The 25,991-nt window shown below is 38.8% G+C and overlaps 1 annotated feature.

Annotated features, from left to right (window-relative positions):
• Window positions 1–25,991: part of a centromere (Linear centromere model derived predominantly from reads generated in PMID: 17803354. This region does not represent an actual centromere sequence, as long-range ordering of repeats and unmapped WGS contigs is not provided by the model. For details of model production, see http://arxiv.org/abs/1307.0035.) that runs on past both edges of the window.

Genomic DNA, 25,991 nt, shown 5'->3' with positions numbered 1-25,991 from the left:
TATACTACAAAAAGAGCGTTTCAAACGTGCTCTATGAAAGGCAATGTTCAACTCTGTGACTTGAATGCAGACATCACAGAGCAGTTTCTGAGAATGCTTCTGTCTAGATTTTATAGGAAGATATTCCCGTTTCCAACGAAATCTTCACAGCTATCCAAATATCCACTTGCAGATTCTACAAAAAGAGTGTATCAAAACTGCTCTGTCAAAAGGAAGGTTCTTCTCTTTTAGGTGAGTGCATAGGTCATAAAGGAGTTTCTGAGAATGTTTCCGTCTAGTGGTTATGGGATGATATTTGCTTTTTCACCGTAGGCCTCAGAGCGCTCCAAATATCCACTTGCACATACTACAAAAAGAGTGCTTCAAAGCTGCTCTCTGAAAGGGAATGTTCAACTCTATGAGTTGAATGCAAACATCACAAAGACGTTTCTGAGAATGCTTCTGTCTAGATTTGATATGAAGATATTCCCGTTTCCAACGAAATCTTCAAATCTATCCAAATGTCCACTTGCAGATTCAACAAAAAGTGTTTTTCAGAACTGCTCTATCAAAAGAAAGATCCACCTCTGTTAGCTGAGTTCAGACATCACAAACAAGTTTATGAGAATGCTTCTGTCTAGTTTTTATTTGAAGATATTTCCTTTCTCACCATAGACCTGAAAGCTTTCCTAATGTTCACTTCCAGTTACTACAGAAAGAGTATTTCAAAACTGCTGTACGAAAGGGATTGTTCAACTCTGTGACTTGAATGCACACATCACAAAGAAGTTTCTGAGGATGCTGCTGTCTACTTTTTATACGTAATCCCGTTTCCAACGAAATCCTCCAAGCTATCCAAATATCCACTTGCAGATTCCACAGAAAGACTGTTTCAAAACTGCTCTGTCAATAGAAAGGTTCAACTCTGTTAGCTGCGTGCATATATCCCAAAGAAGATTCTGAGATTGTTTCTGTCTAGTTTTTATGGGAAGATATTTCCCTTTTCACCGTAGGTGTCAAGGCGCTCCAAATGTCCACTTCCAGATACTACAAAAAGAGTGTTTCAAACCAACTCTGTGAAAGGGAATATTCAACTCTGTGACTTGAATGCACATATCACAAAGAAGTTTCTGAGAATGCTTCTGTCGAGATTTTATATGAAGATATTCCCCTTTCCAACGAAATCCTGAAATCTATCCAAATATCCCCTCGCAGATTCTACAAAAAGAGTGTTTCAAAACTGCTCTGTAAAAAGAAAGGTTCAACTCTGTTAGTTTGAGTACACACATCACAAACAAGTTTCACAGAATGCTTCTTTCTAGCTTGTAGGGGAAGATATTCCCTTTATCACCATGGGCCTCAAACCGTCCGAAACGTCCACTTCCATGTACTACAAAAAGAGCGTTTCAAACCTGTTCTAGGAAAGGCAATGTTCAACTCTGTGACTTGAATGCAGACATCACAGAGCAGTTTCTGAGAATGCTTCCATCTAGATTTTATAGGAAGATATTCCCGTTTCCAACGAAATCTTCACAGCTATCCAAATATCCACTTGCAGATTCTGCAAAAAGAGTGTATCAAAACTGCTCCGTCAAAAGGAAGGTTCTTCTCTGTTAGGTGAGTGCATACGTCATAAAGGAGTTTCTGAGAATGTTTCTGTCTAGTGGTTATGGGAAGATATTGGCTTTTTCACCGTAGGCCTCAGAGCGCTCCAAATATCCACTTGCACATACTACAAAAAGAGTGCCTCAAAGCTGCTCTCTGAAACGGAATGTTCAACTCTATGAGTTGAATGCAAACATCACAAAGACGTTTCTGAGAATGCTTCTGTCTAGATTTGATATGAAGATATTCCCGTTTCCAACGAAATCTTCATATCTATCCAAATGTCCACTTGCAGATTCAACAAAAAGTGTTTTTCAAAACTGCTGTATCAAAAGAAAGATCCACGTCTGTTAGCTGATGCTCTATCAAAAGAAAGATTCACCTCTGTTAGCTGAGTTCACACATCACAAACAAGTTTATGAAAATGCTTCTGTCTAGTTTTTATTTGAAGATATTTCCTTTCTCACCATAGACCTGAAAGCTGTCCTAATGTTCACTTCCAGATACTACAGAAAGAGTGTTTCAAAACTGCTGTATGAAAGGGAATGTTCAAATCTGTGACTTGAATGCACACATCACAAAGAAATTTCTGAGGATGCTGCTATCTACTTTTTATACGTAATCCCGTTTCCAACGAAATCCTCCAAGCTATCCAAATATCCACTTGCAGATTCCACAGAAAGACTGTTTCAAAACTGCTCTGTCAATAGAAAGGTTCAACTCTGTTAGCTGCGTGCATATATCCCAAAGAAGATTCTGAGATTGCTTCTGTCTAGTTTTTATGGGAAGATATTTCCCTTTTCACCGTAGGTGTCAAGGCGCTCCAAATGTCCACTTCCAGATACTACAAAAAGAGTGCTTCAAACCTACTCTGTGAAAGGGAATATTCAACTCTGTGACTTAAAGGCAGATATCACAAAGAAGTTTCTGAGAATGCTTCTGTCGAGATTTTATATGAAGATACTCCCGTTTCCAACGAAATCCTGAAATCTATCCAAATATCCCTTCGCAGATTCTACAAAAAGAGTGTTTCAAAATTGCTCTGTAAAAAGAAAGGTTCAACTCTGTTAGTTGAGTACACACATCACAAACAAGTTTCACAGAATGCTTTCTTTCTAGCTTGTAGGGGAAGATATTCCCTTTATCACCATGGGCCTCCAACCGTCCGAAACATCCACTTCCATATACTACAACAAGAGCGTTTCAAACCTGCTCTATGAAAGGCAATGTTCAACTCTGTGACTTGAATACAGACATCACAGAGCAGTTTCTGAGAATGCTTCTGTCTAGATTTTATAGGAAGATATTCCCGTTTCCAACGAAATCTTCACAGCTATCCAAATATCCACTTGCAGATTCTACAAAAAGAGTGTATCAAAACTGTTCTGTCAAAAGGAAGGTTCTTCTCTGTTAGGTGAGTGCATACGTCATAAAGGAGTTTCTGAGAATGTTTCTGTCTAGTGGTTATGGGAAGATATTTGCTTTTTCACCGTAGGCCTCAGAGCGCTCCAAATATCCACTTGCACATACTACAAAAAGAGTGCCTCAAAGCTGCTCTATGAAACGGAATGTTCAACTCTATGAGTTGAATGCAAACATCACAAAGACGTTTCTGAGAATGCTTCTGTCTAGATTTGATATGAAGATATTCCCGTTTCCAACGAAATCTTCAAATCTATCCAAATGTCCACTTGCAGATTCAACAAAAAGTGTTTTTCAGAACTGCTCTATCAAGAGAAAGATCCACCTCTGTTAGCTGAGTTCACACATCACAAACAAGTTTATGAGAATGCTTCTGTCTAGTTTTTATTTGAAGATATTTCCTTTCTCACCATAGAGCTGAAAGCTGTCCTAATGTTCACTTCCAGATACTACAGAAAGAGTGTTTCAAAACTGCTGTACGAAAGGGAATGTTCAACTCTGTCACTTGAATGCACACATCACAAAGAAGTTTCTGAGGATGCTGCTGTGTACTTTTGATACGTAATCCCGTTTCCAACGAAATCCTCCAAGCTATCGAAATATCCACTTGCAGATTCCACAGAACGACTGTTTCAAAACTGCTCTGTCAATAGAAATGTTCAACTCTGTTAGCTGCGTGCATATATCCCAAAGAAGATTCTGAGATTGCTTCTGTCTAGTTTTTATGGGAAGATATTTCCCTTTTCACCGTAGGCGTCAAGGCGCTCCAAATGTCCACATCCAGATACTACAAAAAGAGTGTTTCAAACCTACACTGTGAAAGGGAATATTCAACTCTGTGACTTGAATGCACATATCACAAAGAAGTTTCTGAGAATGCTTCTGTAGAGATTTTATATGAAGATATTCCCGTTTCCAACGAAATCCTGAAATCTATCCAAATATCCCCTCGCAGATTCTACAAAAAGAGTGTTTCAAAACTGCTCTGTGAAAAGAAAGGTTCAACTCTGTTAGTTGAGTACACACATCACAAACAAGTTTCACAGAATGCTTCTTTCTAGCTTGTAGGGGAAGTTATTCCCTTTATCACCATGGGCCTCAAACCGTCCGAAACGTCCACTTCCATATACTACAAAAAGAGCGTTTCAAACCTGCTCTATGAAAGGCAATGTTCAACTCTGTGACTTGAATGCAGACATCACAGAGCTGTTTCTGAGAATGCTTCTGTCTAGATTTTATAGGAAGATATTCCCGTTTCCAACGAAATCTTCACAGCTATCCCAATATCCACTTGCAGATTCTACAAAAAGAGTGTATCAAAACTGCTCTGTCAAAAGGAAGGTTCTTCTCTGTTAGGTGAGTGCATACGTCATAAAGGAGTTTCTGAGAATGATTCTGTCTAGTGGTTATGGGAAGATATTTGCTTTTTCCCCGTAGGCCTCAAAGCGCTCCAAATGTCAACTTGCACATACTACAAAAAGAGTGCTTCAAAGCTGCTCTCTGAAAGGGAATGTTCAACTCTATGAGTTGAATGCAAACATCGCAAAGACGTTTCTGAGAATGCTTCTGTCTAGATTTGATATGAAGATATTCCCGTTTCCAACGAAATCTTGAAATCTATCCAAATGTCCACTTCCAGATTCAACAAAGTGTTTTTCAGAACTGCTCTATTCAAAGAAAGATCCACCTCTGTTAGCTGAGATCACACTTCACAAACAAGTTTATCAGAATGCTTCCGTCTAGTTTTTATTTGAAAATATATCCTTTCTCACTATAGACCTGAAAGCTGTCCTAAAGTTCACTTCCAGATACTACAGAAAGAGTGTTTCAAAACTGCTGTACGAAAGGGAATGTTCAACTCTGTGACTTGAATGCACACATCACAAGGATGTTTCTGAGGATGCTGCAGTCTACTTTTTTTACGTAATCCCGTTTCCAAAGAAAACTTCCAAGCTATCCAAATATCCACTTGCAGATTCCACAGAAAGACTGTTTCAAAACTGCTCTGTCAATACAAATGTTCAACTCTGTTAGCTGCCTGCATATATCCCAAAGAAGATTCTGAGATTGCTTCTGTCTAGTTTTTATGGGAAGATATTTCCCTTTTCATCGTAGGTGTCAAGGCGCTCCAAATGTCCACTTCCAGATACAACAAAAAGAGTGTTTCAAACCTACTCTGTGAAAGGGAATATTCAACACTGAGACTTGAATGCACATATCACAAAGAAGTTTCTGAGAATGCTTCTGTCGAGATTTTATATGAAGATATTCCCGTTTCCAACCAAATCCTGAAATCTATCCAAATATCCCCTCGCAGATTCTACAAAAAGAGTGTTTCAAAACTGCTCTGTGAAAAGAAAGGTTCAACTCTGTTAGTTGAGTACACACATCACAAACAAGTTTCACAGAATGCTTCTTTCTAGCTTGTAGGGGAAGATATTCCCTTTATAACCATGGGCCTCAAACCGTCCGATAAGTCCACTTCCATATACTACAAAAAGAGCGTTTCAAACCTGCTCTATGAAAGGCAATGTTCAACTCTGTGACTTGAATGCAGACATCACAGAGCAGTTTCTGAGAATGCTTCTGTCTAGATTTTATAGGAAGATATTCCCGTTTCCAACGAAATCTTCACAGCTATCCAAATATCCACTTGGAGATTCTACAAAAAGAGTGTATCAAAACTGCTCTGTCAAAAAGAAGGTTCTTCTCTGTTAGTTGCGTACATACGTCATAAAGGAGTTTCTGAGAATGTTTCTGTTTAGTGGTTACGGGAAGATATTTGCTTTTTCACCGTAGGCCTCAGAGCGATCCAAATATCCACTTGCACATACTACAAAAAGAGTGCTTCAAAGCTGCTCTCTGAAACGGAATGTTCAACTCTATGAGTTGAATGCAAACATCACAAAGACGTTTCTGAGAATGCTTCTGTCTAGATTTGATATGAAGATATTCCCGTTTCCAACGAAATCTTCAAATCTATCCAAATGTCCACTTGCAGATTCAACAAAAAGTGTTTTTCAAAACTGCTGTATCAAAAGAAAGATCCACGTCTGTTAGCTGAGTTCACACATCACAAACAAGTTTATGAGAATGCTTGTCTGTCTAGTTTTTATTTGAAGATATTTCCTTTCTCACCATAGACCTGAAAGCTGTCCTAATGTTCACTTCCAGATGCTACAGAAAGAGTGTTTCAAAACTGCTGTACGAAAGGGAATGTTCAACTCTGTGACTTGAATGCACACATCACAAAGAAGTTTCTGAGGATGCTGCTGTCTACTTTTTATACGTAATCCCGTTTCCATTGAAATCCTCCAAGCTATCCAAATATCCACTTGCAGATTCCACAGAAAGACTGTTTCAAAACTGCTCTGTCAATAGAAAGGTTCAACTCTGTTAGCTTCGTGCATATATCCCAAAGAAGATTCTGAGATTGCTTCTGTCTAGTTTTTATGGGAAGATATTTCCCTTTTCACCGTAGGCGTCAAGGCGCTCCAAATGTCCACTTCCAGATACTACAAAAAGAGTGTTTCAAACCTACTCGGTGAAAGGGAATATTCAACTCTGTGACTTGAATGCACATATCACAAAGAAGTTTCTGAGAATGCTTCTGTCGAGATTTTATATGAAGATATTCCCGTTTCCAAAGAAATCCTGAAATCTATCCAAATATCCCCTCGCAGATTCTACAAAAAGAGTGTTTCAAAACTGCTCTGTAAAAAGAAAGGTTCAACTCTGTTAGTTGAGTACACACATCACAAATAAGTTTCACAGAATGCTTTCTTTCTAGCTTGTAGGGGAAGATATTCACTTTATCACCATGGGCCTCAAACCGTCCGAAACGTCCACTTCCATATACTACAAAAAGAGCGTTTCAAACCTGTTCTTGGAAAAGCAATGTTCAACTCTGTGACTTGAATGCAGACATCACAGAGCAGTTTCTGAGAATGCTTCTGTCTAGATTTTATAGGAAGATATTCCCGTTTCCAACGAAATCTTCACAGCTATCCAAATATCCACTTGCAGATTCTACAAAAAGAGTGTATCAAAACTGCTCTGTCAAATGGAAGGTTCTTCTCTGTTAGGTGAGTGCATACGTCATAAAGGAGTTTCTGAGAATGTTTCTGTCTAGTGGTTATGGGAAGATATTTGCTTTTTCCCCTTAGGCCTCAAAGCGCTCCAAATGTCAATTTGCACTTACTACAAAAAGAGTGCTTCAAAACTGCTCTCTGAAAGGGAATGTTCAACTCTATGAGTTGAATGCAAACATCACAAAGACGTTTCTGAGAATGCTTCTGTCTAGATTTGATATGAAGATATTCCCGTTTCCAAAGAAATCTTCAAATCTATCCAAATGTCCACTTGCAGATTCAACAAAAAGTGTTTTTCAGAACTGCTCTATCAAAAGAAAGATCCACGGCTCTTAGCTGAGTTCACACATCACGAACAAGTTTATGAGAATGCTTCTGTCTAGTTTTTATTTGAAGATATATCCTTTCTCACTATAGACCTGAAAGCTGTCCTAAAGTTCACTTCCAGATACTACAGAAAGAGTGTTTCAAAACTGCTGTACGAAAGGGAATGTTCAACTCTGTGACTTGAATGCACACATCACAAGGATGTTTCTGAGGATGCTGTTGTCTACTTTTTATACGTAATCCCGTTTCCAACGAAATCCTCCAAGCTATCCAAATATCCACTTGCAGATTCCACAGAAAGACTGTTTCAAAACTGCTATTTCAATAGAAAAGTTCAACTCTGTTAGCTGTGTGCATATATCCCAAAGAAAATTCTGAGATTGCTTCTGTCTAGTTTTCATGGGAAGATATTTCCCTTTTCACCGTAGGTGTCAAGGCGCTCCAAATGTCCACTTCCAGATACTACAAAAAGAGTGTTTCAAACCTACTCTCTGAAAGGGAATATTCCGCTCTGTGACTTGAATGCAGATATCACAATGAAGTTTCTGAGAATGCTTCTGTCGAGATTTTATATGAAGATATTCCCGTTTCCAACGAAATCCTGAAATCTCTCCAAATATCCCCTCGCAGATTCTACAAAAAGAGTGTTTCAAAACTGCTCTTTAAAAAGAAAGGTTCAACTCTGTTAGTTGAGTACACACATCACAAACAAGTTTCACAGAATGCTTCTTTCTAGCTTGTAGGGGAAGATATTCCCTTTATCACCATGGGCCTCAAACCGTCCGAAACGTCCACTTCCATATACTACAAAAAGAGCGTTTCAAACCTGCTCCAGGAAAGGCAATGTTCAACTCTGTGACTTGAATGCAGACATCACAGAGCAGTTTCTGAGAATGCTTCTGTCTAGATTTTATAGGAAGATATTCCCGTTTCCAACGAAATCTTCACAGCTATCCAAATATCCACTTGCAGATTCTACAAAAAGAGTGTATCAAAACTGCTCTCTCAAAAGGAAGGTTCTTCTCTGTTAGGTGAGTGCATACGTCATAAAGGAGTTTCTGAGAATGTTTCTGTCTAGTGGTTATGGGAAGATATTTGCTTTTTCCCCGTAGGCCTCAGGGCGCTCCAAATGTCCACTTGCACATGCTACAAAAAGAGTGCTTCAAAGCTGCTCTCTCAAAGGGAATGTTCAACTCTATGAGTTGAATGCAAACATCGCAAAGACGTTTCTGAGAATGCTTCTGTCTAGATTTGATATGAAGATATTCCCGTTTCCAACGAAATCTTCAAATCTATCCAAATGTCCACTTGCAGATTCAACAAAAAGTGTTTTTCAGAACTGCTCTATCAAAAGAAAGATCCACCTCTGTTAGCTGAGTTCAGACATCGCAAACATGTTTTTGAGAATGCTTCTGTCTAATTTTTATTTGAAGATATTTCCTTTCTCACCATAGACCTGAAAGCTGTCCTAATGTTCACTTCCAGATACTACAGAAAGAGTGTTTCAAAACTGCTGTACGAAAGGGAATGTTCAACTCTGTGACTTGAATGCACACATCAGAAAGAAGTTTCTGAGGATGCTGCTGTCTACTTATTATACGTAATCCCGTTTCCAACGAAATCCTCCAAGCTATCCAAATATCCACTTGCAGAATCCATAGAAAGACTGTTTCAAAACTGCTCTGTCAATAGAAAGGTTCAACTCTGTTAGCTGCGTGCATATATCCCAAAGAAGATTCTGAGATTGCTTCTGTCTAGTTTTTATGGGAAGATATTTCCCTTTTCACCGTAGGTGTCAAGGCGCTCCAAATGTTCACTTCCAGATACTACAAAAAGAGTGTTTCAAACCTACTCTGTGAAAGGGAATATTCAACTCTGTGACTTAAAGGCAGATATCACAAAGAAGTTTCTGAGAATGCTTCTGTCGAGATTTTATATGAAGATATTCCAGTTTCCAACCAAATCCTGAAATCTATCCAAATATCCCCTCGCAGATTCTACAAAAAGAGTGTTTCAAAAGTGCTCTGTAAAAAGAAAGGTTCAACTCTGTTAGTTGAGTACACACATCACAAACAAGTTTCACAGAATGCTTCTTTCTAGCTTGTAGGGGAAGATATTCCCTTTATCACCATGGGCCTCAAACCGTCTGAAACGTCCACTTCCATATACTGCAAAAAGAGCATTTCAAACCTGCTCTATGAAAGGCAATGTTCAACTCTGTGACTTGAATGCAGACATCACAGAGCAGTTTCTGAGAATGCTTCTGTCTAGATTTTATAGGAAGATATTCCCGTTCCAACGAAATCTTCACAGCTATCCAAATATCCACTTGCAGATTCTACAAAAAGAGTGTATCAAAACTGCTCTGTCAAAAGGAAGGTTCTTCTCTGTTAGGTGAGTGCATACGTCATAAAGGAGTTTCTGAGAATGTTTCTGTCTAGTGGTTATGGGAAGATATTTGCTTTTTCACCGTAGGCCACAGAGCGATCAAAACATCCACTTGCACATACTACAAAAAGAGTGCTTCAAAGCTGCTCTCTGAAAGTGAATGTTCAACTCTATGAGTTGAATGCAAACATCACAAAGACGTTTCTGAGAATGCTTCTGTCTAGATTTGATATGAAGTTATTCCCGTTTCCAACGAAATCTTCAAATCTATCCAAATGTCCACTTGCAGATTCAACAAAAAGTGTTTTTCAGAACTGCTCTATCAAAAGAAAGATCCACCTCTGTTAGCTGAGTTCACACATCACAAACAAGTTTATGAAAATGCTTCTGTCTAGTTTTTATTTGAAGATATTTCCTTTCTCACCATAGACCTGAAAGCTGTCCTAATGTTCACTTCCAGTTACTACAGAAAGAGTGTTTCAAAACTGCTGTACGAAAGGGAATGTTCAACTCTGTGAGTTGAATGCACACATCACAAAGAAGTTTCTGAGGATGCTGCTGTCTACTTTTTATACGTAATCCCGTTTCCAACGAAATCCTCCAAGCTATCCAAATATCCACTTGCAGATTCCACAGAAAGACTGTTTCAAAACTGCTCTGTCAATAGAAAGATTCAACTCTGTTAGCTGCGTGCATATATCCCAAAGAAGATTCTGAGATTACTTCTGTCTAGTTTTTATGGGAAGATATTTCCCTTTTCACCGTAGGCGTCAAGGCGCTCCAAATGTCCACTTCCAGATACTACAAAAAGAGTGTTTCAAACCTACTCTGTGAAAGGGAGTATTCAACTCTGTGACTTGAATACACATATCACAAAGAAGTTTCTGAGAATGCTTCTGTCGAGATTTTATATGAAGATAATCCCGTTTCCAACGAAATCCTGAAATCTATCCAAATATCCCCACGCAGATTCTACAAAAAGAGTGTTTCAAAACTGCTCTGTAAAAAGAATGGTTCAACTCTGTTAGTTGAGTACACACATCACAAAAAAGTTTCACAGAATGCTTCTTTCTAGCTTGTAGGGGAAGATATTCCCTTTATCACCATGTGCCTCAAACCGTCCGAAACTTCCACTTCCATATACTACAAAAAGAGCGTTTCAAACCTGCTCTAGGAAAGGCAATGTTCAACTCTGTGACTTGAATGCAGACATCACATAGCAGTTTCTGAGAATGCTTCTGTCTAGATTTTATAGGAAGATATTCCCGTTTCCAACGAAATCTTCACAGCTATCCCAATATCCACTTGCAGATTCTACAAAAAGAGTGTATCAAAACTGCTCTGTCAAAAGGAAGGTTCTTCTCTGTTAGGTGAGTGCATACGTCATAAAGGAGTTTCTGAGAACGTTTCTGTCTAGTGGTTATGGGAAGATATTTGCTTTTTCACCGAAGGCCTCAGAGCGCTCCAAATATCAACTTGCACATACTACAAAATGAGTGCCTCAAAGCTGCTCTCTGAAACGGAATGTTCAACTCTATGAGTTGAATGCAAACATCACAAAGACGTTTCCGAGAATGCTTCTGTCTAGATTTGATATGAAGATATTCCCGTTTCCAACGAAATCTTCAAATCTATCCAAATGTCCACTTGCAGATTCAACAAAGTGTTTTTCAAAACTGCTGTATCAAAAGAAAGATCCACCACTGTTAGCTGAGTTCACACTTCACAAACAAGTTTATCAGAATGCTTCTGTCTAGTTTTTATTTGAAGATATTTCCTTTCTCACCATAGACCTGAAAGCTGTCCTAATGTTCACTTCCAGATACTACAGAAAGTGTTTCAAAACTGCTGTACGAAAGGGAATGTTCAACTCTGTGACTTGAATGCACACATCACAAAGAAGTTTCTGAGGATGCTGCTGTCTACTTTTTATACGTAATCCCGTTTCCAACGAAATCCTTCAAGCTATCCAAATATCCACTTGCAGATTCCACAGAAAGACTGTTTCAAAACTGCTCTGTCAATAGAAAGGTTCAACTCTGTTAGCTGCGTGCATATATCCCAAAGAAGATTCTGAGATTGCTTCTGTCTACTTTTTATGAGAAGATATTTCCCTTTTCACCGTAGGCGTCAAGGCGCTCCAAATGTCCACTTCAGATACTACAAAAAGAGTGTTTCAAACCTACTCTGTGAAAGGGAATATTGAACTCTGTGACTTGAATGCACATATCAAAAAGAAGTTTCAGAGAATGCTCTGTCGAGATTTTATATGAAGATATTCCCGTTTCCAACGAAATCCTGAAATCTATCCAAATATCCCCTCGCAGATTCTACAAAAAGAGTGTTTCAAAACTGCTCTGTAAAAAGAAAGGTTCAACTCTGTTAGTTGAGTACACACATCACAAACAAGTTTCACAGAATGCTTTCTTTCTAGCTTGTAGGGGAAGATATTCCCCTTATCACCATGGGCCTCCAACCGTCCGAAACATCCACTTCCATATACTACAAAAAGAGCGTTTCAAACCTGCTCTATGAAAGGCAATGTTCAACTCTGTGACTTGAATGCAGACATCACAGAGCAGTTTCTGAGAATGCTTCTGTCTAGATTTTATAGGAAGATATTCCCGTTTCCAACGAAATCTTCACGGCTATCCAAATATCCACTTGCAGATTCTACAAAAAGAGTGTATCAAAACTGCTCTGTCAAAAGGAAGGTTCTTCTCTGTTAGGTGAGTGCATACGTCATAAAGGAGTTTCTGAGAATGTTTCTGTCTAGTGGTTATGGGAAGATATTTGCTTTTTCCCCGTAGGCCTCAGAGCGCTCCAAATATCCACTTGCACATACTACAAAAAGAGTGCTTCAAAGCTGCTCTCTGAAACGGAATGTTCAACTCTATGAGTTGAATGCAAACATCGCAAAGACGTTTCTGAGAATGCTTCTGTCTAGATTTGATATGAAAATATTCCCGTTTCCAACGAAATCTTCAAATCTATCCAAATGTCCACTTGCAGATTCAACAAAAAGTGTTTTTCAGAACTGCTCTATCAAAAGAAAGATCCACCTCTGTTAGCTGAGTTCACACATCATAAACAAGTTTATGAGAATGCTTCTGTCTAGTTTTTATTTGAAGATATTTCCTTTCTCACCATAGACCTGAAAGCTGTCCTAATGTTCACTTCCAGATACTACAGAAAGAGTGCTTCAAAACTGTTGTACGAAAGGGAATGTTCAACTCTGTGACTTGAATGCACACATCACAAAGAAGTTTCTGAGGATGCTGCTGTCTACTTTTTATACTTAATCCCGTTTCCAACGAAATCCTCCAAGCTTTCCAAATATCCACTTGCAGATTCCACAGAAAGACTGTTTCAAAACTGCTCTGTCAATAGAAAGGTTCAACTCTGTTAGCTGCGTGCATATATCCCAAAGAAGATTCTGAGATTGCTTCTGTCTAGTTTTTGTGGGAAGATATTTCGCTTTTCACCGTAGGTGTCAAGGCGCTCCAAATGTCCACTTCCAGATACTACAAAAAGAGTGTTTCAAACCTACTCTGTGAAAGGGAATATTCAACTCTGTGACTTGAATGCACATATCACAAAGAAGTTTCTGAGAATGCTTCTGTCGAGATTTTATATGAAGGTATTCCCGTTTCCAACGAAATCCTGAAATCTATCCAAATATCCCCTCGCAGATTCTACAAAAAGAGTGTTTCAAAACTGCTGTGTAAAAAGAAAGGTTCAACTCTGTTAGTTGAGTACACACATCACAAACAAGTTTCACAGAATGCTTCTTTCTAGCTTGCAGGGGAAGATATTCCCTTTATCACCATGGGCCTCCAACTGTCCGAAACATCCACTTCCATATACTACAAAAAGAGCGTTTCAAACCTGCTCTATGAAAGGCAATGTTCAACTCTGTGACTTGAATGCAGACATCACAGAGCAGTTTCTGAGAATGCTTCTGTCTAGAATTTATAGGAAGATATTCCCGTTTCCAACGAAATCTTCACAGCTATCCAAATATCCACTTGCAGATTCTACAAAAAGAGTGTGTCAAAACTGCTCTGTCAAAAGGAAGGTTCTTCTCTGTTAGTTGAGTACATACGTCATAAAGGAGTTTCTGAGAATGTTTCTGTCTAGTGGTTATGGGAAGATACTTGCTTTTTCACCGTAGGCCTCAGAGCGCTCCAAATATCCACTTGCACATACTACAAAAAGAGTGCTTCAAAGCTGCTCTCTGAAACGGAATGTTCAACTCTATGAGTTGAATGCAAACATCACAAAGACGTTTCTGGGAATGCTTCTGTCTAGATTTGATATGAAGATATTCCCGTTTACAACGAAATCTTCAAATCTATCCAAATGTCCACTTGCAGATTCAACAAAAAGTGTTTTTCAGAACTGCTCTATCAAAAGAAAGATCCACCTCTGTTAGCTGAGTTCACACATCACAAACAAGTTTATGAGAATGCTTCTGTCTAGTTTTTATTTGAAGATATTTCCTTTCTCACCATAGACCTGAAAGCTGTCCTAATGTTCACTTCCAGATACTACAGAAAGAGTGTTTCAAAACTGCTGTACGAAAGGGAATGTTCAACTCTGTGACTTGAATGCACACATCACAAAGAAGTTTCAGAGGAGGCTGCTGTCTACTTTTATACCTAATCCCGTTTCCAACGAAATCCTCCAAGCTATCCAAATATCCACTTGCAGATTCCACAGAAAGACTATTTCAAAACTGCTCTGTCAATAGAAAGGTTCAACTCTGTTAGCTGCGTGCATATATCCCAAAGAAGATTCTGAGATTGCTTCTGTCTAGTTTTTATGGGAAGATATTTCCCTTTTCACCGTAGGTGTCAAGGCGCTCCAAATGTCCACTTCCAGATACTACAAAAAGAGTGTTTCAAACCTACTCTGTGAAAGGGAATATTCAACTCTGTGACTTCAATGCACATATCACAAAGAACTTTCTGAGAATGCTTCTGTCGAGATTTTATATGAAGGTATTCCCGTTTCCAACGAAATCCTGAAATCTATCCAAATATCCCCTCGCAGATTCTACAAAAAGAGTGTTTCAAAACTGCTCTGTGAAAAGAAAGGTTCAACTCTGTTAGTTGAGTACACACATCACAAACAAGTTTCACAGAATGCTTCTTTCTAGCTTGTAGGGGAAGATATTCCCTTTATCACCATGGGCCTCAAACCGTCCAAAACGTCCACTTCCATATACTACAAAAAGAGCGTTTCAAACCTGCTCTATGAAAGGCAATGTTCAACTCTGTGACTTGAATGCAGACATCACAGAGCAGTTTCTGAGAATGCTTCTGTCTAGATTTTATAGGAAGATATTCCCGTTTCCAACGAAATCTTCACAGCTATCCAAATATGCACTTGCAGATTCTACAAAAAGAGTGTATCAAAACTGCTCTGTCAAAAAGAATGTTCTTCTCTGTTAGTTGAGTACATACGTCATAAAGGAGTTTCTGAGAATGTTTCTGTCTAGTGGTTATGGGAAGATATTTGCTTTTTCACCGTAGGCCTCAGTAGCGCTCCAAATATCCACTTGCACATACTACAAAAAGAGTCTTTCAAAGCTGCTCTCTGAAAGGGAATGTTCAACTCTATGAGTTGAATGCAAACATGACAAAGACGTTTCTGAGAATGCTTCTGTCTAGATTTGATATAAAGGTATTCCCGTTTCCAACGAAATCTTCAAATCTATCCAAATGTCCACTTGCAGATTCAACAAAAAGTGTTTTTCAGAACTGCTCTATCAAAAGAAAGATCCACCTCTGTTAGCTGAGTTCACACATCACAAACAAGTTTATGAGAATGCTTCTGTCTAGTTTTTATTTGAAGATATTTCCTTTCTCACCATAGAGCTGAACGCTGTCCTAATGTTCACTTCCAGATACTACAGAAAGAGTGTTTCAAAACTGCTGTACGAAAGGGAATGTTCAACTCTGTGACTTGAATGCACACATCACAAAGAAGTTTCGGAGGATGCTGCTGTCTACTTTTTATATGTAATCCCGTTTCCAACGAAATCCTCCAATCTATCCAAATATCCACTTGCAGATTCCACAGAAAGACTGTTTCAAATCTGCTCTGTCAACAGAAAGATTCAAGTCTGTTAGCTGCGTGCATATATCCCAAAGAAGATTCTGAGATTGCTTCTGTCTAGTTTTTATGGGAAGATATTTCCCTTTTCACCGTAGGCGTCAAGGCGCTCCAAATGTCCACTTCCAGATACTACAAAAAGAGTGTTTCAAACCTACTCTGTGAAAGGGAATATTCAACTCTGTGACTTGAATGCACATATCACAAGGAAGTTTCGGAGAATGCTTCTGTCGAGATTTTATATGAAGATATTCCCGTTTCCAACGAAATGCTGAAATCTATCCAAATATCCCCTCGCAGATTCTACAAAAAGAGTGTTTCAAAACTGCTCCTGTGAAAAGAAAGGTTCAACTACTGTTAGTTGAGTACACACATCACAAACTAGTTTCACAGAATGCTTCTTTCTAGCTTGTAGGGGAAGATATTCCCTAAATCACCATGGGCCTCAAACCGTCCGAAACGTCCACTTCCATATACTACAAAAAGAGTGTTTCAAACCTGCTCTATGAAAGGCAATGTTCAACTCTGTGACTTGAATGCAGACAACACAGAGCAGTTTCTGAGAATGCTTCTGTCTAGATTTTATAGGAAGATATTCCCGTTTCCAACGAAATCTTCACAGCTATCCAAATATCCACTTGCAGATTCTACAAAAAGAGTGTATCAAAACTGCTCTGTCAAAAGGAAGGTTCTTCTCTGTTAGGTGAGTGCATACGTCATAAAGGAGTTTCTGAGAATGTTTCTGTCTAGTGGTTATGGGAAGATGTTTGCTTTTTCACCCTAGGCCTCAGAGCACTCCAATTATCCCCTTGCACATACTACAAAAAGAGTGCTTCAAAGCTGCTCTCTGAAAGGGAATGTTCAACTCTATGAGTTGAATGCAGACATCACAAAGACGTTTCTGGGAATGCTTCTGTCTAGATTTGATATGAAGATATTCCCGTTTCCAACGAAATCTTCAAATCTATCCAAATGTCCACTTGCATATTCAACAAAAAGTGTTTTTCAGAACTGCTCTATCAAAAGAAAGATCCACCTCTGTTAGCTGAGTTCACACATCACAAACAAGTTTATGAGAATGCTTCTGTCTAGTTTTTATTTGAAGATATTTCCTTTCTCACCATAGAGCTGAAAGCTGTCCTAATGTTCACTTCCAGATACTACAGAAAGAGTGTTTCAAAACTGCTGTACGAAAGGGAATGTTCAACTGTGTGACTTGAATGCACACATCACAAAGAAGTTTCTGAGGATGCTGCTGTCTACTTTTTATATGTAATCCCGTTTCCAACGAAATCCTCCAAGCTATCCAAATATCCACTTGCAGATTTAACAGAAAGACTGTTTCAAAACTGCTCTGTCAATAGAAAAGTTCAACTCTGTTAGCTGCGTACATATATCCCAAAGAAGATTCTGAGATTGCTGCTGTCTAGTTTTTATGGGAACATATTTCCTTTTTCACCGTAGGCGTCAAGGCGCTCCAAATGTCCACTTCCAGATACTACAAAAAGAGTGTTTCAAACCTACTGTGTGAAAGGGAATATTCAACTCTTTGATTTGAATGTAGGTATCACAAAAAGTTTCTAAGAATGCTTCTGTCGCGATTTTATATGAAGATATTCCCGTTTCCAACGAAATCCTGAAATCTATCCAAATATCCCCTCGCAGATTCTACAAAAAGAGTGTTTCAAAACTGCTCTGTAAAAAGAAAGGTTCAACTCTGTTAGTTGAGTACACACATCACAAACAAGTTTCACAGAATGCTTCTTTCTAGCTTGTAGGGGAAGATATTCCCTTTATCACCATGGGCCTCAAACCGTCCGAAAAGTCCACTTCCATATACTACAAAAAGAGCGTTTCAAACCTGCTCTATGAAAGGCAATGTTCAACTCTGTGACTTGAAAGCAGACATCACAGAGCAGTTTCTGAGAATGCTTCTGTCTAGATTTTATAGGAAGATATTCCCGTTTACATCGAAATCTTCACAGGTATCCAAATATCCACTTGCAGATTCTACAAAAAGAGTGTATCAAAACTGCTCTGTCAAAAGGAAGGTTCTTCTCTGTTAGGTGAGTGCATACGTCATAAAGGAGTTTCTGAGAATGTTTCTGTCTAGTGTTTATGGGAAGATATTTGCTTTTTCACCGTAGGCCTCAGAGCACTCCAAATATCCCCTTGCACATACTACAAAAAGAGTGCTTCAAAGCTGCTCTCTGAAAGGGAATGTTCAACTCTATGAGTTGAATGCAAACATGACAAAGACGTTTCCGAGAATGCTTCTGTCTAGATTTGATATGAAGATATTCCCGTTTCCAACGAAATCTTCAAATCTATCCAAATGTCCACTTGCAGATTCAACAAAAAGTGTTTTTCAGAACTGCTCTATCAAAAGAAAGGTCCACCTCTGTTAGCTGAGTTCACACATCACAAACAAGTTTATGAGAATACTTCTGTCTAGTTTTTATTTGAAGATATTTCCTTTCTCACCATAGAGCTGAAAGCTGTCCTAATGTTCACTTCCAGATACTACAGAAAGAGTGTTTCAAAACTGCTGTACGAAAGGGAATGTTCAACTCTGTCACTTGAATGCACACATCACAAAGAAGTTTCCTGAGGATGCTGCTGTCTACTTTTTATACGTAATCCTGTTTCCAACGAAATCCTCCAAGCTATCCAAATATCCACTTGCAGATTCCCCAGAAAGACTGTTTCAAAACTGCTCTGTCAATAGAAAGGTTCAACTCTGTTAGCTGCGTGCATATATCCCAAAGAAGATTCTGAGATTGCTTCTGTCTAGTTTTTATGGGAAGATATTTCCCTTTTCACCGTAGGCATCAAGGCGCTCCAAATGTCCACTTCCAGATACTACAAAAAGACTGTTTCAAACCTACTCTGTGAAAGGGAATATTCAACTCTGTGACTTGAATGCACATATCACAAGGAAGTTTCTGAGAATGCTTCTGTCGAGTATTTTATATGAAGATATTCCCGTTTCCAACGAAATGCTGAAATCTATCCAAATATCCCCTCGCAGATTCTACAAAAAGAGTGTTTCAAAACTGCTCTGTAAAAAGAAAGGTTCAACTCTGTTAGTTGAGTACACACATCACAAATAAGTTTCACACAATGCTTCTTTCTAGCTTGTAGGGGAAGATATTCCCTTTATCACCATGGGCCTCAAACCGTCCGAAACGTCCACTTCCATATACTACAAAAAGAGCGTTTCAAACCTGCTCTATGAAAGGCAATGTTCAACTCTATGACTTGAATGCAGACATCACAGAGCAGTTTCTGAGAATGCTTCTGTCTAGATTTTATAGGAAGATATTCCCGTTTCCAACGAAATCTTCACAGCTATCCCAATATCCACTTGCAGATTCTACAAAAAGAGTATCTCAAAACTGCTCTGTCAAAAGGAAGGTTCTTCTCTGTTAGGTGAGTGCATACGTCATAAAGGAGTTTCTGAGAATGTTCCTGTCTAGTGGTTATGGGAAGATATTTGCTTTTTCCCCGTAGGCCTCAAAGCGCTCCAAATGTCCACTTGCACATACTACAAAAAGAGTGCTTCAAAGCTGCTCTCTGAAAGGGAATGTTCAACTCTATGAGTTGAATGCTAACATCACAAAGACGTTTCTGAGAATGCTTCTGTCTAGATTTAATATGAAGATATTCCCGTTTCCAACGAAATCTTCAAATCTATCCAAATATCCACTTGCAGATTCAACAAAAAGTGTTTTTCAGAACTGCTCTATCAAAAGAAAGATCCACCTCTGTTAGCTGAGATCACACTTCACAAACAAGTTTATCAGAATGCTTCTGTCTAGTTTTTATTTGAAGATATTTCCTTTCTCACCATAGACCTGAAAGCTGTCCTAATGTTCACTTCCAGATACTACAGAAAGAGTGTTTCAAAACTGCTGTACGAAAGGGAATGTTCAACTCTGTGACTTGAATGCACACATCACAAAGAAGTTTGCTGAGGATGCTGCTGTCTACTTTTTATACGTAATCCCGTTTCCAACGAAATCCTCCAAGCTATCCAAATATCCACTTGCAGATTCCACAGAAAGACTGTTTCAAAACTGCTCTGTCAATAGAAAGGTTCAACTCTGTTAGCTGCGTGCATATATCCCAAAAAAGATTCTGAGATTGCTTCTGTCTAGTTTTTATGGGAAGATATTTCCCTTTTCACCGTAGGCGTCAAGGCGCTCCAAATGTCCACTTCCAGATACTACAAAAAGAGTGTTTCAAACCTACTCTGTGAAAGGGAATATTCAACTCTGTGACTTGAATGCACATATCACAAAGAAGTTTCTGAAAATGCTTCTGTCGAGATTTTATATGAAGATACTCCCGTTTCCAACGAAATCCTGAAATCTATCCAAATATCCCCTCGCAGATTCTACAAAAAGAGTGTTTCAAAACTGCTCTGTAAAAGGAAAGGTTCAACTCTGTTAGTTGAGTACACACATCACAAACAAGTTTCACAGAATGCTTCTTTCTAGCTTGCAGGGGAAGATATTCCCTTTATCACCATGGGCCTCAAACCGTCCGAAACGTCTACTTCCATATACTACAAAAAGAGCGTTTCAAACCTGCTCTATGAAAGGCAATGTTCAACTCTGTGACTTGAATGCAGACATCACAGATCAGTTTCTGAGAATGCTTCTGTCTAGATTTTATAGGAAGATATTCCCGTTTCCAACGAAATCTTCACAGCTATCCAAATATGCACTTGCAGATTCTACAAAAAGAGTGTATCAAAACTGCTCAGTCAAAAAGAAGGTTCTTCTCTGTTAGTTGAGTACATACGTCATAAAGGAGTTTCTGAGAATGTTTTCTGTCTAGTGGTTATGGGAAGATATTTGCTTTTTCCCCGTAGGCCTCAGGGCGCTCCAAATATCCACTTGCACATGCTACAAAAAGAGTGCTTCAAAGCTGCTCTCTGAAACGGAATGTTCAACTCTATGAGTTGAATGCAAACATCGCAAAGACGTTTCTGAGAATGCTTCTGTCTAGATTTGATATGAAGATATTCCCGTTTCCAACGAAATCTTCAAATCTATCCAAATGTCCTCTTGCAGATTCAACAAAAAGTGTTTTTCAGAACTGCTCTATCAAAAGAAAGATCCACCTCTGTTAGCTGAGTTCACACATCACAAACAAGTTTATGAGAGTGCTTCTGTCTAGTTTTGATTTGAAGATATTTCCTTTCTCACCATAGAGCTGAAAGCTGTCCTAATGTTCACTTCCAGATACTACAGAAAGAGTGTTTCAAAACTGCTGTACGAAAGGGAATGTTCAACTCTGTGACTTGAATGCACACATCACAAAGAAGTTTCTGAGGATGCTGCTGTGTACTTTTGATACGTAATCCCGTTTCCAACGAAATCCTCCAAGCTATCGAAATATCCACTTGCAGATTCCACAGAACGACTGTTTCAAAACTGCTCTGTAAATAGAAATGTTCAACTCTGTTAGCTGCGTGCATATATCCCAAAGAAGATTCTGAGATTGCTTCTGTCTAGTTTTTATGGGAAGATATTTCCCTTTTCACCGTAGGTGTCAAGGCGCTCCAAATGTCCAATTCCAGATACTACAAAAAGAGTGTTTCAAACCTACTCTGTGAAAGGGAATATTCAACTCTGTGACTTGAATGCACATATCACAAAGAAGTTTCTGACAATGCTTCTGTCGAGATTTTATATGAAGATATTCCCGTTTCCAACGAAATCCTGAAATCTATCCAAATATCCCCTCGCAGATTCTACAAAAAGAGTGTTTCAAAACTGCTCTGTGAAAAGAAAAGTTCAACTCTGTTAGTTGAGTACACACATCACAAACAAGTTTCACAGAATGCTTCTTTCTAGCTTGTAGGGGAAGATATTCCCTTTATCACCATGGGCCTCAAACCGTCCGAAACGTCTACTTCCATATACTACAAAAAGAGCGTTTCAAACCTGCTCTATGAAAAGCAATGTTCAACTCTGTGACTTGAATGCAGATATCACAGAGCAGTTTCTGAGAATGCTTCTGTCTAGATTTTATAGGAAGATATTCCCGTTTCCAACGAAATCTTCACAGCTATCCAAATATCCACTTGCAGATTCTACAAAAAGAGTGTATCAAAACTGCTCTGTCAAAAGGAAGGTTCTTCTCTTATAGGTGAGTGCATAGGTCATAAAGGAGTTTCTGAGAATGTTTCTGTCTAGTGGTTATGGGAAGATATTTGCTTTTTCACCGTAGGCCTCAGGGCGCTCCAAATATCCACTTGCACATACTACAAAAAGAGTGCCTCAAAGCTGCTCTCTGAAACGGAATGTTCAACTCTATGAGTTGAATGCAAACATCGCAAAGACGTTTCTGAGAATGCTTCTGTCTAGATTTGATATGAAGATATTCCCGTTTCCAACGAAATCTTCAAATCTATCCAAATGTCCACTTGCAGATTCAACAAAAAGTGTTTTTCAGAACTGCTCTATCAAAAGAAAGATCCACCTCTGTTAGCTGAGTTCACACATCACAAAACAAGTTTATGAGAATGCTTCTGTCTAGTTTTTATTTGAAGATATTTCCTTTCTCACCATAGACCTGAAAGCTGTCCTAGTGTTCACTTCCAGTTACTACAGAAAGAGTGTTTCAAAACTGCTGTACGAAAGGGAATGTTCAACTCTGTGACTTGAATGCACACATCACAAAGAAGTTTCTGAGGATGCTGCTGTCTACTTTTTATACTTAATCCCGTTTCCAACGAAATCCTCCAAGCTGTCCAAATATCCACTTGCAGATTCCACAGAAAGACTGTTTCAAAACTGCTCTGTCAATAGAAAGGTTCAACTCTGTTAGCTGCGTGCATATATCCCAAAGAAGATTCTGAGATTGCTTCTGTCTAGTTTTTATGGGAAGATATTTCCCTTTTCACCGTAGGCGTCCAGGCGCTCCAAATGTCCACTTCCAGATACTACAAAAAGAGTGTTTCAAACCTACTCTATGAAAGGGAATATTCAACTCTGTGACTTGAATGCACATATCACAAGGAAGTTTCTGAGAATGCTTCTGTCGAGATTTTATATGAAGATATTCTCGTTTACAACGAAATCCTGAAATCTATCCAAATATCCCCTCGCAGATTCTACAAAAAGAGTGTTTCAAAACTGCTCTGTAAAAAGAAAGGTTCAACTCTGTTAGTTGAGTACACACATCACAAACAAGTTTCACACAATGCTTCTTTCTAGCTTGTAGGGGAAGATATTCCCTTTATCACCATGGGTCTCAAACCGTCCGAAACGTCTACTTCCATATACTACAAAAAGAGCGTTTCAAACCTGCTCTATGAAAGGCAATGTTCAACTCTGTGACTTGAATGCAGACATCACAGAGCAGTTTCTGAGAATGCTTCTGTCTAGATTTTATAGGAAGATATTCCCGTTTCCAACGAAATCTTCACAGCTATCCAAATATCCACTTGCAGATTCTACAAAAAGAGTGTATCAAAACTGCTCTGTCAAAAGGAAGGTTCTTTTCTGTTAGGTGAGTGCATACGTCATAAAGGAGTTTCTGAGAAGGTTTCTGTCTAGTGGTTATGGGAAGATATTTGCTTTTTCACCGTAGGCCTCGGAGCGCTCCAAATATCCACTTGCACATACTACAAAAAGAGTGTTTCAAACCTGCTCTCTGAAACGGAATGTTCAACTCTATGAGTTGAATGCAAACATCACAAAGACGTTTCTGAGAATGCTTCTGTCTAGATTTGATATGAAGATATTCCCGTTTCCAACGAAATCTTCAAATCTATCCAAATGTCCACTTGCAGATTCAAAAAAAAGTGTTTTTCAGAACTGCTCTATCAAAAGAAAGATCCACCTCTGTTAGCTGAGTTCACACATCACAAACAAGTTTATGAGAATGCTTCTGTCTAGTTTTTATTTGAAGATATTTCCTTTCTCACCATAGAGCTGAAAGCTGTCCTAATGTTCACTTCCAGATACTACAGAAAGAGTGTTTCAAAACTGCTGTACGAAAGGGAATGTTCAACTCTGTGACTTGAATGCACACATCACAAAGAAGTTTCTGAGTATGCTGCTGTCTACTTTTTATACTTAATCCCGTTTCCAACGAAATCCTCCAAGCTATCCAAATATCCACTTGCAGATTCCACAGAAAGACTGTTTCAAAACTGCTCTGTCAATAGAAAGGTTCAACTCTGTTAGCTGCGTGCATATATCCTAAAGAAGATTCTGAGATTGCTTCTGTCTACTTTTTATGAGAAGATATTTCCCTTTTCAACGTAGGCGTCAAGGCGCTCCAAATGTCCACTTCCAGATACTACAAAAAGAGTGTTTCAAACCTACTCTGTGAAAGGGAATATTCAACTCTGTGACTTGAATGCACATATCACAAAGAAGCTTCTGAGAATGCTTCTGTCGAGATTTTATATGAAGATATTCCCGTTTCCAACGAAATCCTGAAATGTATCCAAATATCCCCTCGCAGATTCTACAAAAAGAGTGTTTCAAAACTGCTCTGTAAAAAGAAAGGTTCAACTCTGTTAGTTGAGTACGCACATCACAAACAAGTTTCACAGAATGCTTCTTTCTAGCTTGTAGGGGAAGATATTCCCTTTATCACCATGGGCCTCAAACCGTCCGAAACATCCAGTTCCATATACTACAAAAAGAGCGTTTCAAACCTGCTCTAGGAAAGGCAATGTTCAACTCTGTGACTTGAATGCAGACATCACAGAGCAGTTTCTGAGAATGCTTCTGTCTAGATTTTATAGGAAGATATTCCCGTTTCCAACGAAATCTTCACAGCTATCCAAATATCCACTTGCAGATTCTGCAAAAAGAGTGTATCAAAAGTGCTCAGTCAAAAGGAAGGTTCTTCTCTGTTAGGTGAGTGCATACGTCATAAAGGAGTTTCTGAGAATGTTTCTGTCTAGTGGTTATGGGAAGGATATTTGCTTTTTCACCGTAGGCCTCAGAGCGCTCCAAATATCCACTTGCACATACTACAAAAAGAGTGCCTCAAAGCTGCTCTCTGAAACGGAATGTTCAACTCTATGAGTTGAATGCAAACATCGCAAAGACGTTTCTGAGAATGCTTCTGTCTAGCATTTGATATGAAGATATTCCCGTTTCCAACGAAATCTTCAAATCTATCCAAATGTCCACTTGCAGATTCAACAAAAAGTGTTTTTCAGAACTGCTCTATCAAAAGAAAGATCCACCTCTGTTAGCTGAGTTCACACATCACAAACAAATTTATGAGAATGCTTCTCTCAAGTTTTTATTTGAAGATATTTCCTTTCTCACCATAGACCTGAAAGCTGTCCTAATGTTCACTTCCAGATACTACAGAAAGAGTGTTTCAAAACTGCTGTACGAAAGGGAATGTTCAACTCTGTGACTTGAATGCACACATCACAAAGAAGTTTCTGAGGATGCTGCTGTCTACTTTTTATACGTAATCCCGTTTCCAAAGATATCCTCCAAGCTATCCAAATATCCACTTGCAGATTCCACAGTAAGACTGTTTCAAAACTGCTCTGTCAATAGAAAGGTTCAACTCTGTTAGCTGCATGCATATATCCCAAAGAAGATTCTGAGATTGCTTCTGTCTAGTTTTATGGGAAGATATTTCCCTTTTCACCGTGGGCGTCAAGGCGCTCCAAATGACCACTTCCAGATACTACAAAAAGAGTGTTTCAAACCTACTCTGTGAAAGGGAATATTCAACTCTGTGACTTGAATGCACATATCACAAGGAAGTTTCTGAGAATGCTTCTGTCGAGATTTTATATGAAGATCTTCCCGTTTCCAACGAAATCCTGAAATCTATCCAAATATCCCCTCGCAGATTCTACAAAAAGAGTGTTTCAAAACTGCTCTGTAAAAAGAAAGGTTCAACTCTGTTAGTTGAGTACACACATCACAAACAAGTTTCACAGAATGCTTCTTTCTAGCTTGTAGGGGAAGATATTCCCTTTATCACCATGGGCCTCAAACCGTCCGAAACGTCCACTTCCATATACTACAAAAAGAGCGCTTCAAACCTGCTCTA

The sequence above is a fragment of the Homo sapiens genome, chromosome 13, assembly GCF_000001405.40.
Source record: "Homo sapiens chromosome 13, GRCh38.p14 Primary Assembly".
NCBI classification, from domain to species: Eukaryota; Metazoa; Chordata; class Mammalia; order Primates; family Hominidae; genus Homo; species Homo sapiens.
Note: the sequence above shows the minus strand (reverse complement) of the source record. Positions and strands in the feature narration are given on the sequence as shown.